At 50.8% G+C, this 16,437-nt stretch overlaps 1 protein-coding gene across 17 annotated transcripts in view, besides 3 other annotated features; it reads left to right on the top strand.

The window, feature by feature from the left end:
* SSBP3 (single stranded DNA binding protein 3) overlaps positions 1-16,437 on the top strand; it is a 188,059-nt gene that overhangs the window by 119,869 nt on the left and 51,753 nt on the right. For all 17 annotated transcript variants that reach the window (NM_001394365.1, NM_001394366.1, NM_001394364.1 and 14 more), the window contains one exon: positions 12,095-12,184. In NM_001394365.1, the coding sequence (NP_001381294.1) occupies positions 12,149-12,184 (36 nt within the window). In that variant the 5' untranslated portion in view covers positions 12,095-12,148. The remainder of the gene's footprint in view (positions 1-12,094; positions 12,185-16,437) is intronic.
* Positions 2,726-3,398: an enhancer, noted in NCBI's record as "H3K4me1 hESC enhancer chr1:54755897-54756569 (GRCh37/hg19 assembly coordinates)". NCBI's record gives its function as "activates a minimal SCP1, AML or CMV promoter by ChIP-STARR-seq in naive H9 embryonic stem cells {active_cell/tissue: H9 hESC(naive)}" and the evidence as "EXISTENCE:reporter gene assay evidence [ECO:0000049][PMID:30033119]".
* Positions 6,092-6,386: an enhancer, noted in NCBI's record as "tiled region #4453; K562 Activating DNase matched - State 5:Enh". NCBI's record gives its function as "activates a minimal TATA promoter and a strong SV40 promoter by Sharpr-MPRA in K562 cells {active_cell/tissue: K562}" and the evidence as "EXISTENCE:reporter gene assay evidence [ECO:0000049][PMID:27701403]".
* Positions 11,637-12,444: an enhancer, noted in NCBI's record as "H3K27ac-H3K4me1 hESC enhancer chr1:54746851-54747658 (GRCh37/hg19 assembly coordinates)". NCBI's record gives its function as "activates a minimal SCP1, AML or CMV promoter by ChIP-STARR-seq in primed H9 embryonic stem cells {active_cell/tissue: H9 hESC(primed)}" and the evidence as "EXISTENCE:reporter gene assay evidence [ECO:0000049][PMID:30033119]".

The raw sequence follows: 16,437 nt of genomic DNA, 5'->3' as shown, positions 1-16,437 counted from the left end.
TGCCTGTGCAGAGGGTGGTTGCTGTATTCATCAAGGAAATATGTGTGAAAGAAAGGCCTTTGTAAGCTGGTACTAGGTACTAAATATGTGTAAGTAATAATAGGTTATTCTTCTCTGAATGGGACCCCAATAAATGTTTTGTAAAGACCTTCCTTTGTGTTTTCAATACCATATCGATGGGTGGCATGAGTAGGGGATGGACCACCTCTATGAGAAGTCCCGTGTTTGTTTCAGAAGCTGAGTTTGGGTCAGAATTCTCAGTGGATGAACTCCCATGTCCCTTCAGAAGCCTCTGACCAGCCCGCGTGCCTCCGATCCTCCCAGGCCCCACCCCCTTAGCAGATCTCTCACCGGGATCCTAAGCGATGTGTGTGTTCTTGGGTGCTCTGGCCCTCTTCTTGGTGGGTGCAAACAAGAAAGCCCTGCTGTGTGCACCTGGTAGATGCCCAACAAATAATCTGTAGTGAGCTCCGAAGTGGCAGCCCCGCCTTGCCCTTTAGCTTTGTGGCTCCCACCAGACTTTAGCAGGCCACAGACTGGGGTCGCAGGCTGGGGCTGTGTCTTGGTCAGAAGCAGGTTGGTTCTTGGTGGGTACCTGAACCATCTCTTCATCCCCTCTGTATTACTTTTGGAGCAAACCATCCAGTCACCATCCTCCAAGAGTCTCCTCTGAAAGCATGCCAGGCTCTGTTCTAGAAGGCCACTTGGCAGGGTAGGGATGTGATGCCTCGTGGAGGGGCTGATAACTGTGATGCCAGAATCTGAGTTATCTAGAATGGCTGTTTTTGGTTCCTAGGGGTATCAGGTACCAGAGATATTACCCTTCCTGCCCCAGAGACAGACACATGTACATACACACACACGGAATTCATGTCCTGGTGAATTCTCCTGTTGGAGGCATTAGCATTCCCTTGCTTTGGCACCACTCCCTCTCGTTTGTTCAGAGCCCTGAGGGCTGGGATTGGGGTGGGATGAGGGTCACCGCTGTCTGGTCTGAGTGCGACAAACCTTCCTGGACCTGCGCCCTGGAGTCTGGGGTTTGAAGGGCAGCAGGGGTCCTCAGAGGGCTTGTGCAGGGCCTCGCTCACAACACAGGAGTGTTCTTGGGGGAACTGACATGAGGCTTCACAGTGGCCAGGGCAGCTGGGGCCGTAGAGGACATGGCCTGGACTCTCATCCCTTCCTGTAGCTTGGGGGCTCACCCACCCTGTCATTTGTACATGAGGCATCTGGGGCTCTGAGAAGGGAAGGGGTTGCCTTGCTTTTGGTTACCTAGCTAGTTTCTGTCAGGGTTTTCGTTAAGGCCAAGCTATAGTCCTCTCTTGTGTCAGTCTGAAGAATTCGGTAGAGGGGAATTAATTGTGGATGTTGAAGTCAGGTAGACCTGGGTTTGAATCCCAGGACTGCCATTTCCTGGCATGCACCAACTGTTGCATTCCTCCCACTCCCTTAGGCAGTGCAGGGGAGAAAGAGGGAGGGCCTAGCTGGAGCTTGTCACCTCCAGGGGAGTAGAGTCTTGGCTGAAGGGTCTGTCCTTGGCTTCCTAGAGCACTGGAGGGCCCAGCTGCAGGCCCAGCCATTGCTACTCAGCACCCACCTAGTGGGTAAGGGGGTCAGTGTGGGCCTCTCTCCCTTCCTTCTCAGCTGTATCTAGCAGGTGCCCGAGAGCAGCCTTCCAGGGGCTCCAGACAAGGTTCCCCATTGGCAGCACTGGTGCCTGAGCAGGATGCGGGCTCGCACCTGGATTTCAGGCAGGAGAACCATCTATGCTATTCCTTGCCTGACAGCTGGGCGTGGAGGGCTGCCTGAATGGACAGCAGCAGACACTCGAATAAGTGCCCAGCGCTTCGTAGTGTTGTTGGGTCCAATTTCCTTTGCTTTGTGACCTACATCATTCTTTATTTGCTAAACCCTCTGAGCAGGCAGCAGTAATAAATCAATTAATGACTCTGATGAATCGTTTAATGGCTGACAAAATAACACTAAAGCCAACAGCTTGCATCTCTCCAGCAGTACCAAAGGACGCTGGTTGACTCAGAGTGGGGGACGAAACAGAGACTGTTAGCTAAATTAGCGCAATTAGTGCATGCTTTAAAGGCTTAGACGGCATCTGCTCAGCGCCGAACCCGTGTGGCAACTGTGCGCTGGGGTGGCTGTGCAGACCACGGTGGTCCACTGCTCACTGCCTTCCCTCCTGGCCAAGGAGCTCAAGGGCTCCCGACTGTTCATTTACACAGAAGAGGCAGTGTTGGGTTTGAATTATGCGCCCCTTCCCTGGCATTGGGGGACCCGGGTGAACTTGTCAGACTGTGTACATTTTGTCCTGTCACAGCAGAGGAGGTGAGGGAAAGTGACTTGGTCCCCACTAAATTTGATGCTCACTGAGGAGAGTGTGGGCTCCCATCCTTGAAAGATGTTCTGAGGGCCCTGCCTTTAATGATTTATTTTAAACTTAAAAAAAAAAAGTTTCTAGAAGCGGGTGGTTTTCTGTTCTCTGCACACCTCGGTCCTGGCAGGATTAAGTTGTCATTGGAACTGAGCGTGTGCGCGGGTCCACGCCAGGGAATTTTCCACTTTGCAGAAGCAACTGCCAGTGTTCTTGTTAAGGAGCTGTCACTGGCCTACTATGACATGTTTGTGGTTGTAAGTAGCTCCTTTAAGACAGTGGGAAATGTGTGTGTGTGCGTGTGTGTGTGTTTTGCTAATGGTGTAAACTAGGGCCTGAAGCTCATTTCTCTTTAAGAAGAAAATCAACGTTGTACAAATACCGAGCTGTTGATCCACTCTGCAGTGTTCATCTAGGGGGGATCCTCTAGCCCTTAATCTTCCTTGTCTTGCATGCACATGCCTGGGACCTGCGTCCTGTGCCATGGGGCCCAGATGGGAGGTATCTGCCTGTGGAGGAGGGTGCACTGGCTGGGATCCACTCCCTCACCAGGTACTAATTATTAAATACATGGGGCTCCACCTCTTACCAAACAGTGACCTTTGATCCAGTCCCCAGAAGAAGCCGGGTGCTTCCTGGGATGAATGGGCAGGGCCCGGCAGTATGGTGGCCTCAGACTTCCCAGCCCAGGGAATTCACTTCCTCCTAAGGTGGCCACTAAGAAGAGAGAGGCCCCTTCTCAGAAGACCAAGTCTTTCCACAGCTTTCAGCCCCTTTTTGTCTCCCCATCCCCAGCCTGCTGTGGTCAGGGAATCTTAGGACGTCAGCACGTGGTCCTTTACCTGGAGCTGTGTCTCTGGCTCTGGGCCGCCGGTTGCTGAACCCGTACCTTGGCTGAGTCTGGCTGGGCACCTTACCTAAGGGTCATGTTTAAGTTCCCTATGCCCCCCACAGAGGGTAGGGGGCTCCCTTCCTTAGCAAATGATGAGGGGTGCAGAAGGTAAAGTGAGGTGCCTGAGGACTTGGCCCCTGGTGAATGGAAGGACTGGGCCCTGACCTGTTTCCAGGTGACCACTTTTAAGTGTCGATTCTGAAATTTGTATCAGAGAAGCTGAGGTGTGGCCAAGAGCTGGGGCTGTGGTTTTAGCAGATCTGGGCTTGACTTCTGGTTCTGCCCATTTCCAGCCATGTGACCTTGGACAAGTGCCTTTACTCCTCAGAGCCTCTGAGTTCTGGTAGTGACTGTGGATTGTTGGAAGGATGGAGGGAGAGAGACTGGATGAGCCACACCATGAGCTGGGTCACAAGGGACCGCCTGGGGACAGTGAGCCTTCTCTGACTAGGTGGCTGGCTCCTCGCCTGTGGGGGAGCCCCCCTATCCTGGGGGAGGGAAAGCGAACAAGCCCCACACCCACCCCCTACCCTGGAGATGGTGCAGGGGGCGGGTGGCGTCCTAGAGGGATTTGCTCTCTAAGGAAAGGCTGTCAGGAGGCCCTGTGCCCAGGGAGGGTTAAAATGACAGCATAATCTCTCACCCCTGTATCACCTCCTGCATCCTCGAGTCCTGCCGTCCTTTAAGGCCCCAGCTCAAGTACCATCTCTTCCACAAAGCCTCCCTGATCCCCCTAATCCCCGCTCACAGCGCCTGCCCAGAGCACCTTGCCTGTCCCTCAGTTCTCTGTCACCACAACTCCTTGCATCCTCCTGACCTGCAGGGCAGACCTGCAACCTGTCATCTGCTCTGGTGAGCACAGCGCAGTCTGGGTGGCCCCAGAAGCGAGTGTTTGCTGATGCATCTGATGTGTAAAAAGCACTAGGAACCTTTTTACAGCCCCCCACCCCACCCCCCACCTTGTTTCTCCTCCTCTCAGGGTAATTTGCCAGTTAGATCCAACAGACTCTTCAGTGGGATCTTGCATTCCTTGACACACATGTGTGTGCAGACACACACATACACACCCCTTGGTGAATGCCAACTCATTGAAGTATTTGTCAGAAAGAGCAGAGCTAGAAGGTCAGCCTACTTGGGGAAGCACAAAAACATATAGACAGTCTCAAACACGGGAATGGATTGTGCTTCTCTCATGTGTTTAATGAAGTGCCGGCTATTTCTTTTCATAAGAGTCAAAGCACACAGAACTCTTCCTGGGAACTACAGGGGTGAGTGGGACATTACTGTTTTTTTTTTTTGTTTTTTTGTTTTTTTTTTTTTTTTGGAGACAGAGTCTAGCTCTGTCGCCCAGGCTGGAGTGCAGTGGCACGATCTCGGCTCACTGCAAGCTCCACCTCCCGGGTTCACGCGAGTCTCCTGCCTCAGCCTCCTGAGTAGCTGGCACTACAGGCACCCGCCACCACACCCAGCTGATTTTTTTTGGTATTTTTAGTAGAGACTTGGTTTCACGTGTTAGCCAGGATGGTCTCGATCTCCTGACCTTGTGATCCGCCCACCTTGGCCTCCCAGAGTGGACTGTGGTTTTGTTTTTTGAACCCAAGATAAAAGGTGGAGGCACAGAGGGACTAATGTTAGAGCCACTTAGCTGCCTGACCTTGAGATAGTACAGCTCTCTGTGCCTCAGTTTCCTTACCAGGAAAACAGAAATGACATCTTCCCAGCGATGTTGGGGAATAAATACTACCCTCCCCCCCCCCACCCCTGCTGATGTATGGGATCAAAATGAAAAGGCAGGCACTTCTCCAGCCCCTCTTGCATTCCAGGGTCATACCCAGGTGGCAGACATGAGCTGGGACTTAGTAAAATAAGCTCAGGTATCAAGACCACCCTCATTTGGGTCTGATGGCCTGGCCCTGACAGGTTGAGGCTTTTGTTGTCTATACGTGGCCCTTTTCAGGTCGCTTGCTGAAGAGCTCCTTGGACATCCACAGTGTCACTGGAGCAGCAGGACATCAGCTGCCTTGTGTGGAGTCCAGGGCCCGGGGCAGGAAGGCCTGATCAGATCACACAGTAGGTGGTTTGCCGCCAGAGCTGGAATCCTGATCCTGGGACCCTCAGTGCAGGACTCTTTTGTCTTAATAATCCCCAGGCCCAGGCGGTGGTGGGTCCTATGGCAATCCTTTTTTAATATGGTTTGTGCCATGTCTCCGCTGGGAGCGACCCCAAATTATCACAGCCCGCCCCCTTCTGAGGCAGCCAAGAAGCTTTTTGTAGCTTGGGGCATCTACTGTTGGACCCAGGGCCGTCCATTGGTGCCGGGAGACACATCCATCCCTCCTCCCACACGATGGCCCCCTGACTATTTGAAGGCAGGGATCTTGTGTCACTCCTGTGTGTCATCCAAACCTATTTTTAACGTCAGCTGGTTCTGCCTCTTCACGTAGCAACAGCTCTGTTTTCTCTAAACTGCACAATTAGAGCCCCTGTTCTCCAAAACTGATTCTGTTCTGTGGTCTGCATATGAAACCAGGAATCCTCTTCCTGTCCCCTTCCCTTCTTTGAACCCCAGTTCTGTCTGTCTTGGCCTTTCCATCTGGGTGATGACATTCCCCCGGTCGCTTCCATTCCTGATTTATATCTTTAGTTTGTTGTTGCTGCTGAAATTCCCTCTGGGAAACCTGGCCCCAGAGGGACCCGGGTTACTCCATAGTTTGCACAGAAGCCCCTGTCTTGCTGAAACCAGTGCCAGCATCCCTCCCTCCCTCCTTCCCCAGGCCACCAGACAGGCGTCACTTGGAGGCTTCCTGTCTCACTTGCCCTCTGTATGTAGTCATCACAGGAGTGCCCCAAGCTCCCTTGAGTGACCTCCATTTCCCAGCTTTGAGCACATGGCTCCACCCTCAGCACACACCTCCCACCCCCTGGTGTTTTGGGCCCTGGGCCACGCAGCCTGTGTTGAGTTTCAGTCAAGGAAGTCGTCTGCACATGCGGTTCTGCATGTGGCCCCCAAGCTGCTGCACGCCAAGGCCTGAGTATTAGGGCGGGGCAAGGAGGGGAGGGGATTTGCAGAACAAAGTACCATTTTGCAGCCTTGTAAATCAGTCAGGAGGGGTTGGCCGACCTGGCAGGAGTCCCACATTTCCCTCTGAGCATTTGTTTTTATTCAGTTTTCCAGGAGCTTCCTGTGCCTAGAACTAATTTTAAAGAGAGGGTTGGAGCGGGGGTCTCAGGCTAGTTTGTGAGTGAGGATAGCTGGGGTTCTTGAAATGAGGCCAGAAGATAGTATCTTGCAGGGAATGCCCCTGGACCATTGCTTCTTGAAGGAAAAGCATCAACACTGTTGCCTACTCTGAGATGCTTCTCTCTCAGGGTGGGATGAGAGGCCTCTGGGAATGTGGGGACTCGTCAAGTCCACTTGCTCCTGGAATTTGGGGTACTCTGGTGGTATTGGGATTTGTTGAGTGAGCATGAAAGGTCCCTATGCCCGGCACAGGGTGAGGTGGGGCAGTAGATGTCCCCCCGCTCCGCCATTGCCCAGAGCAGAAAGTTCCATTCCTTAGCCTGGCTTCCAAGGCGCTTTCTCTTGGAAGCACCGCTCTGAGGCCCCCTGTTTGAACCCTGCTTCTCCACCCTGGAGGTTAGAGGGGGAATATCCATCTCCTAGGGTGGGACTGGTGGTGAGGTTTTCAGGTGTCCTTACGGAGTGGGATTGCTGAGGATCTCTGGTTGCAGTGGCATGTGTCTGTCCCGTTGGAGCATGGATAGGGCAGAGGCAGGGGTAGTCCCTGAGCCCCATGGCTGTGTACCCATCCTGGGATCATCAAGAAACCCTGCTCTTTAGAGATGGAGCTGTGGGATCAGTCCTCTTCACAAGTCTCCCTGGCTGTGAACGGCAAACTTCAGGCAGTGCTCTGGGAAAGCACTTCGGGCTTTTCAAGTTGACTGTAGGTTTAGAGGAGGCACCTGGCTGGAATGGGCCTCATCACCCTGTTTAAGGCCTGTTTGCTGTTTAGAAAAGAATTTTAAATTAGCTTTATTTGTTGTTTTTGTTGTTGTTTTTTAAAGTGCATGTTACCAAACTGCATGGGTGGTTTGAGTTGGCTTTCTTGAGTCCAAAAAGTGGATAAGCATTGGTGAGGAAGGAAGGCCTGGGCGGTTAGAACCCAATGTCACCCACTGTTATCTGTGGGCTCAGATAACAGGTCTCTCGGTAGTGTTTAATCTTTGATCACAAAATGGCCTATAATGAACAGAGAAGAGTTAAAACCCAGGTGCCCTGGAAAGAGGGTTGCTGTCCTGTTCATGGAAGAGCTGCTGTTTCCAGACCTAGCTCCCCTTGGTGTGTAGACTTAGCTGGGGAGAGCAGCTTGGAAGAAGAGCCTTAGTGGTCATCTCCTCTAACACCATCATTGGACACATGGGGAAACTGAGTCCCAGAACGAGAAAGGGGCCTGTCCGTGGGCTCCCAGCTAGGAGATCTCTAGCTTCTGAATCCAGTGTTCTTTTCTCTCTTCTTCCGTGGGGGACTTCTAGCCCATGCACCCACTGCAGCCCTGGCATGCTGTAGGCCTCAGTGAATAATGGGGGTTTTCAGGGGTTTTGGTTTTGTGTTGTTAGGGAAAACTCATGAGACGCTTTGCTGAGCGCCTTAATGGAGCTCCAGCTCAAAGTTGGAAACCACAGAGGGAGGCCGATTCCTAGCAGTCTGGAAAGGCCTGGCTCTGGACGGTCAGCTTTGAGCAGGTCTCTGAATTATACACGTAGTAATCATGATTGGGCCACTGCATTCCAGCCTGGGGACCAGGTCTCTAATTATAATAATAATAATTTTAAAGTTTTTTTTTTAAAAAGTATAACTTACCCGTATTCTAGATCCTGCTAATACACCTGCTGTATGCCTCACGTTGTGCTGGGTCTCAGAGACAGGAGAAACAGCCCCTGCTGCCGTTGAGCTGCAGGAGGGTTGGTGCAGGGATTCAGCGTAATGTTCATAGATGTGGTTGGGGGGAGGGTACCTTGGTTTAGATTTTGTGAGCAAGTTATTTCTGAGCCTTTCCCAACCTCTTAACTCTTTTGTTGCCCTATACCACTGGTTGCTGCTTTTCGTTTTCTTCTTCACACTTTTCTGCCCTTTTTAAAGTTTTTTGTTATGAGCACATGTTTGCTTCATAATCAAAGAAGAACAGCAATAACTATCAAAATTCAAGGCACAAATTTAAGCACTGCAGGACGACTTAGTTTTGCTGCTTGAGAAGCTTTAAATGATAAAGGCGTCTCCTCAGCTTCCTGCCCCTTAGTCAATGCTAACATGGTCTTGGTTTTTTGTCCTCCTTCATTGGAGAACAGCAAAACTCCATCTTCCACCCCACATTTCAGAGAATTACACCGTGCATTTACTAGAACCATGGTGACCCTGGCCGTTGCATTCAAAGAACTGTGGACCATCCACTACCTTCAGTTCCTAGAACCATTGACTCACTCCTGATCTCATAGGAAAACATCTTAGAGTGAAGAGCCTCATAAATAAGGCGACAAAGTACTTGTAGGTTCAAGTTTTCATTTAATTTTTTTTTTAGGCCAGACACGATGGTTCACACCTGTAATGCTAGCACTTTTGGGGGCTGAGGTGGCAGGATTGCTTGAGGGCAGGAGTTCAAGACCAGCCTGGGCAACATAGTGAGACCTAATCTCTACAAAAAATTTTAAAAATTAGCTGGGTATGGTGGTGTGCACATGTATTCCCAGCTACCTGAGAAGCTGAGGCAGGAGGATCCCTTGAGCCTAGGAGTTTGGGGCCATAGTAAGCAATGATCGGGCCACTGCACTCCAGCCTGGGGACTAGGTCTCTAATTATAATAATAATAATTTTAATTTTTTTTTTAAATTATAACTTACCCTTAGTCTAGATCCTCAATATATAAAAAATCAAATACCCAAATAGCAAAGGACATGAATGATTTGCCATAAAATTAGATCTACAAGTGGCCAATGCAAACCATTTCAAAAGGTAATGACCTAAGAGGTAACTCAGAATACCGAATACCAAAGGGATACTAACTGCCACATTAGCAGACACTGAGATTTAATGCCTGTTATTTCGTTGGTTAATAGGCGGGGGGTGGTGGCTCATGCCTGTAATTCCAGCACTTTGGGAAGCTGAGGTGGGAGGATCACATGAAGCCAGCCTGGGCAACATAGTAAGACCCTGTGTCTTAAAAAAAAAAAAAAAAAAAAAAAAAAGTGGTTAAATAATGGTACATAAGAAGAATGAAATTGTTAAATGTAACACCAGTCTCTGAAAGAACCTGAAGAAAAATGTAGATGGATGTTTACCTTACCCCATTTTTAAAAAAAGTTTTTTGCTCTTGCTGCTGAGGAGTAATTGTTGGCTGTTAATCACAAAATTGCCATTTTCACAGAACCACTGACCACAGAAAAACAGTAATGCAGCCAGCAGTAATGCAGCTAATGGATAAGCTGGCGATTCCCTCACGAGGCCCCATCTCAGATAGTGCCGGGCAGGGGCAAGGCAGGGGCCTGTGACCTCAGACCTGGGGGATGGGGAGATCTACAATCCTAATTTTTGGAGATGCTTGAAACTTGTACACATTACAGGATGGTTAGCAGGATAGCTCTTGCAGAGAGGGCTGTTTTTCTGTAGGCAGAATCATTTTGAAAAGTAACGTGCGGCTTGCCCATTCTCTTCATCTGGGGTCTGCTCAACACCCACTGTATTCCCTGTATTTCTTTGTTGCTAGATTCACAGAGCTGTCCCAGCTTACAAAACACAGCCCATTCTGTCACTTTATCCCCCACAACCCTGGTGAGGACGTGGGACAACAGCTATCTCATTTTTTACAGGAAGCAAATTCAGAAAGTCCGAGTGGCTTGCCCACAGTCATCCCACTTAGTAGTAGAGGTGACAGTGCTGAAAACCAGGTGCATTTGTTCCCAGGTCTGTTCGTTTATTTTGTTGCATGCAGTATATTAGTGAGATTTGCACATTACCTCATTTCCTTTCATCAAAGTTGGAAGTTAGAGATTCTGGTTCCTTTTTTTTTTTTTTTTTTTATGAGATGGGGAGTTTTGCTTTTGTCATCCAGGCTGGAGTGCAGTGGTGCAATCTTGGCTCACTGCAACCTCTGCCTCCTGAGTTCAAGTGAATTCTCCTGCCTCAGCCTCCCGAGTAGCTGGGATTGCAGGCGCCCACCACCACATCCAGCTAATTTTTGTATTTTTAGTTGAGATGGGGTTTTGCCATTTTGGCCAGGCTGGTCTCAAACTCCTGACCTCAGGTGATCCGCCCACCTTGGCCTCCCAAAGTGTCGGGGTTACAGGAGTGAGCCACCACGCCCAGCCTCTGGTTCCTATTTTACTGCCAATGAAAGGAAAGAGAGTGACTTCTTGAAGGTGGTGATGGGAGGCTGTGTTTCTAAGAGGAAAAAAGGCGTTCTGTTTCCTGACCCCAAGGGGCTCATTCCTCTTTCAGAGAATCAGAACCCTGGGAGATGATTGATGACCAAGTTTCACTTTCTCAGTCATGGTGGGGTTTGGGGACCACCAAGGTTGGAGGTGGGCTTCCTGTAGAAGGAGCCCCTGAAGGCCTAGAATCAGTGGGAAGGAGCAGGGCCCGGTTCCAGGTAGGACTGTCAGACCTGTGGCTTCCTCAGGGCTGGGGCCCAGATGTCTCAGCCTCGCCCCGCCCCGCCTGTGTGAGCACGGGGCCAGGCACAGACGCGCCGACCACCTGAATAGGTTGCACACAGATCCTTTGGAAGGAGGCCAGGCTGGGGAGAGCAATGTCTGCTCACCCCTGGGAGGCATTTGTTGAGGCAGATATACCAGGCAAATGCCAGAACAGCAGTGTTTAAAGAGAAAAGGAATGACGGTCCCCCCACTTCGCGAGGCCCCTCTCTCTCATGAGACACCTAGGACCCTGCAGGGCCAAGAACACGCTCTGCCCTCCGTCACCCTCTCCAGCAGTGTTTCCCAGTTGGTCTGTTCATTTATTCGTTGAGTCATGGATATTTATTGATCTTTTGCTCTATATGACATGCCAGCCACTTGCAGAGGGCACAGAAATTTATAAATCACTGGCCTGCCAAGAGCTTCTCAGAGTAGCTGGGCAGACACGGCCCAGGGCCATATAATGCCAGGAGCAGCACATTGGCCATGCACCCCTGCTCTGCACCGCAGGAAGTACCTTTGGCACTTTGTCTCAGGCTGTCCTTGCAACCTCCCTGAATGGTGGACATTGTCCCCCCATTTTTTTATTATTATTATTATTATTATTATTATTATTTGAGATAGGGCTGAACCTTTTGGGCTCAAGCGATCCTCTGACCTCAACCTCCCGAGTAAGTGGAACTACAGGCGTATGCCACTGCACCCAGCTAATTTTTTATTTTTTGTAGGGACGGGGTCTCCCTATGTTGCCCGCGCCGGTCTCGAACTCCTGGGCTCAAGCGATTCTCCAGCCTCAACCTCCCAAAGTGCTGGGATTTTAGTTGTGAGCCACCACATCCGGCCCTCCCATTTTAGAGATGAGGAAAAAGAGCCTCGGAATTCGTTGCTTGCTCAGTGGGGGCCGGACCTGGGAATTGAGTCCAGGTCTGAGTGTATAAGCCCTACTTGTGTCCTGTCAGTGGGAACATGACACTTCCCTGGGACGCTAGGAGGGCTTTAAGTAGAAAGTGGCCTGTGAGGAAGGTCCACGGGGAATGTGGACGGACAGGGAGAGCCAAGTCCAGGGGTCAGAACTCTGTGTCTCTGGTTGTGGGTTTGGCCACTAACTCTCTGCCTTGTTGTCTCCACAGAGTGCAGCAGCTGCCCCGAGCCCCGTGCTTGGCAACATTCCCCCCAACGATGGGATGCCGGGAGGCCCCATCCCGCCAGGTTTCTTTCAGGTACGTGCGGGGCCCGTGGGTCTTGTGCTCCACCTTGTATTCCAGGCCGAGGCCCTGGGCAGGTGGGAGGGCGGGAGAGAAGTAAGTAGCTCAGTTTGCCATGGTCTAAATACAGTTGCTTTATGCTGGTTCAAATCCTTCCCTTCCCATCCCTTTCAACAGTCCTTCTAAAAGCTGAGAGGGAGAAAAAGATGGGAAAGCAGAAACCTCCTGCATTGCCTGCACTTCTGCTGGAGTTTGCTTTCTTCATGCCAGCTTCGTAGGCGCGACACAGTCTGCCCCTGGCCAGGGAGGTGGTGGGGGCTACTTCCAGGCCACTGTGGAGCTTTCTTTTAACAAAAGGCTTTAAAAAAAATCAGTAAATTGTTCTTTGTTTCTGTTTTGTTGCTGCTGCTTTTGTCATTGTTTACTTTACTTGTCCAAATGACAAACCTTAGGCGTAATCTTAAAAAAACACAAAAACCCACCATCCTGGCAGGTCTCAGAATCCTTTCCCTCTGGTTAACCACTTGATTTTTTCCGAGTGTGATCACAGACAGCATCCCACAAGCATCTGTGCCCGTGCTCTGCCCGCCACAGGCAGGAACAGATCCCACGTGGGTCGAGAGTCTGGCCTTCTCCAAGAGACACCTTGTTTGGCTTTTTCTGGGGTGTGTGAAATTGGGCTTTCTGTTTTGCCAGGTTGGGCGCGGCTGCCACCCTCTCTGCGCCGCCTCCTCTGTCTCTACCTTCTCCTCGGCGGTTCATGTGATTTAAGCCAACTTGAGACTGGGGAATGCCATCTTAGAGAGGTACAGCGTGCAGGGCTGTAAGGAACTTTTATGATGACACTCTCGATCATAACATCTCTCGTTCTTTCAAGCCTGTCGGCAGCTGAGTTTGAGAATCCGCCCGAGTTCTCCACACCTTTTGAAAGATTGGCACTCCCAGATAAGAACATGGAAAGAGCTGTTGTGTGGAAAAGGAGGCAGAAATTTCCTCTGTACAGCCCTAGAATTCAGAACTAGGACCAGTGAGGCAAAGTCCAAGGACACTTTTGCTTGGTATAGGCCAGAATTTAGCACCTGTGCTCACACCACATCAAGGCAGGGGGCTCTCTGGCCCTAGAGATGTCTAAGCAAAGACCTGACAAACGTCTCCTAGGGATGTTAAAGGGGTTTCCCTCTAGGTGAGAGATGATCTGGAAGATGATTCTAGTTGGCAAGATTTTGTATTTCGGTTGGTGTTAACTCCTGAGAGAAGAGGGCTGGGACATGCTGCTCACCAGCTAAGAAGGACGGCAGTGAAATTCAGGTGTTCCCCAAAAACAGAAGTGGTAGGTCACATGATGGTGGTGGGAGGAGAGAGAGGGATGCAGGATGGCCATCCGGGGCATTGGATGGCCACATGTGGATCTGTATGCATTCCCAGAACACTGCCAAAACTGGAGCCTTGTCCAAGGGGTGGAGATGAGTGTAGCCCCAGAAATAGGTGTGTGAGCTCCAGGTTGGACTGGACCAGGCATTGCTAGGGTCTCAGCTTGGGGCAAGGCTGCAGACATATTAAAGATGGGTTGAGAGTTAGACCTTAAAATACTGGAAACTCATGGACCCAAGAAAGGCAGTAGCCAGAGGGGCTGCTGTCCTTCTCCCAGGGAGGAAATCCAAGAGGCCAGCGTGTGAGAGGTTCATCCTCACCAAGGCAGGCATCTTCCTGGCTGCTGCAGATGGCGCCCTGCACCCATCAGCGGGCCTTTCCCACTGGCGTTCTGTCCAGTTGGGAATTCTTTCTAGGCTCACATGCCATGGATGTTCTTGAGACAGTGCAGATGTGGCTTCCGTGTCTGGTGGACCCACCGAGGTACCATGCTTCATCTGTGTGCCTCCTGATTGAGGCTGCTTGCCGGCATCTGGGTGTCCGGTGCAGATTAGACCACTGTGGTAGAAAGAGGTAGACAATACCTAGTTGTATGTTTTAAAAATAGGCCATTGGCTTCTATTTTGGCCTGGGTCTAGGACAAGGCTCAGGTCTGCCTGATCTGTGGGCAGCTCCCAACTTCCTGCTTTGGTATAATCGTCCATGGCTAAGGCCTAATTCCAGACATACTTCTTGGGCCCTCCCCTGTGACGTTTGGGGTGTGTGGTCAGAAAGCCAAGACTGATTCCTGTCCTTATTTAGCCATTACTAGCCACCATCAAACAGAGGTAACTTTTGGACCTTCTTGACTTGAGGTCACCTCTGTTTTCCCAGGCACGGCGAGCCATCAAGAGCTGACGTGGTCATCCAGTAGACAGCAGAGAGCAATGTCTTGGCCTCTCTGCTTCCTGGGTGACGTTGGGTGATTCCTTTCTCTCACTTCCCGGCATCATTTCCCCATCAGTCAGATGCAGGGGGATGGGCTAGGCCAGGTACCTGGCCTGATCCTTCCTGGCCATGATGCTGAACCGCTCAGGCTGGGACACTGCCAAGGGGAAAGGGTATCTCTCTGGAAGGAGGTACTGGCTGCCCATTTCCGGAGTAGGCCTGCTTACAACAGGAATATTAGCTATTGATTGCTGGCCCTGCCCTTCACTAGTATTGCAGCCGGCCACTCTGATATTAGAAGGGAAATAGAGATGGTATCGAGGATTTTATCTGTTACCAACAATTGCACTCCTTCCCCTGCTTGGCCAAGGCCTGGGTAGGAAGCTCTGCTGCAGAAAGGCTTTGCACCAGGGAGTCGGCTTGGGATGGCTGAGCCAGCTATGGCCAGACCCTGGCCTAGGGTGGCCAGCCCAGTTTTCAGGTCAGGACTTCACCCCTAGCCTGGTCCTAAATGTAGAAGCCCCAGGCCTCCAGGGTTGGGTGGGAGAGAGCAGCTGCCCACCTCCATCCCAGCCCCTCGGTAAGCAACACAGGGCCTTGCTTCTGCAGGCCTCTGACTGCCAGGCTTCAGCTCCTGGGGTCAGAAGTTTTGGCCACCCACAATGAGGGTTGGCCATCAGCTTTCTCTTCTTCCACGTCCAGGTTTCCAAGGCGGGCAGTACCTGTCTGGTCCCGTGGCATGAGATGTCTCTGGTAGCAAGTTAAGGGCTGGCAGGGAGATGGCTTGGAAACTGACCTGACCACACCTCACCTTTAAAAAAAAAAAAAGCCCTAATATTGGCATCCCCAGCACCTGGCATATACTAAGGACCTAGTAAATGTTTGAACTGAGTTTATTTGTATTGCTCACATTACAGAACAGGAGCCCAGGCAGCCCCAAAGCACTAGATCCAACATTCTGATCAGGGAGGGCCTAACAGGAAGCCAGCTTGGGAGTTCAGGAGTGGTGTTCTGGTGTTTTGCAGCAGGGAAGGACAGAGAGGACTTGGCCGCATACTTGCTGAGTGACCTTGGGCAAGTTGCTCCCCATCTCTGGACCCTAGTTTTCTCACCAGTAGATGGAGCAGGCTGGACCAGGTGGTCTCTGAGGGCCCTTCCAACTTTGATTTTCTGCTTTGGATCCAGATGGATTTTACATAATCAAGCAGTGGCATTTTTTTTTTCCACGCAGCTTAGCTCGGTTGGGCTGCACATCTGGCAAACCCAGCTTGGCTTTGGCCAGCCTCACTGATCTGGGTGGGTTCCCTAGTTCCCCCTTAAGGGGGACACTGTCCAGTAAGAATTTCTAAGTTCCTTGGCCCTAAGGTGGTCCTAAGGAGGGCACTGTCCAGTAAGGATTTCTAAGTCCAAAACGGGACTCACAAGAGGGCAGGGGTCATAGAGAACTGAGCATTGGGTACAGGCTGTTTTTCTTCTTGTTTTGTTTTTAAATTCCAATAGTTGTTTTCAGTTACATAGTGTTTTTAAACATGCAACTTACTTTCATTTTCATCACAGTGTTTCTGCAGAGAAGGCATGCAGATTGGGAAAGTGAGACTCAGAAAGGTGAATGACTTGCCCCAAGTTAACCAGGGGCTGTAATCAGAGTCTAAACCCAGCTTTCCTGGTTCCTCATGGGGTGCTCTTCCACAAACACTCCAAAGTCCAAATGTGGATGCACATCTGATTGGATGGCGGAAGCAGGGAGAGTAGAGAATTAGATAAAAGGAGGGAGAGACCGAAAGGAGATAGAGAAACCATAACTCTTATCTAAAGAAGTAGCAAAGAAGTCCCCATTCAAATGCCAGCTCTGCTTGATGTGTGGTGGCTGCTGAGAACACCGTGAGAATGATTCTGAAGCTGTGTGTCCAGGCTCAACAGATAGTGACTGGCAATGTCTACCATGAACGTGAATGTGTCGGTGGTGGTAC

This window comes from Homo sapiens, chromosome 1 (assembly GCF_000001405.40).
Source record: "Homo sapiens chromosome 1, GRCh38.p14 Primary Assembly".
Lineage (NCBI taxonomy): Eukaryota > Metazoa > Chordata > Mammalia > Primates > Hominidae > Homo > Homo sapiens.
The sequence above is the reverse complement of the archived record's forward strand: the minus strand, read 5'-3'. Positions and strand labels throughout refer to the sequence as shown.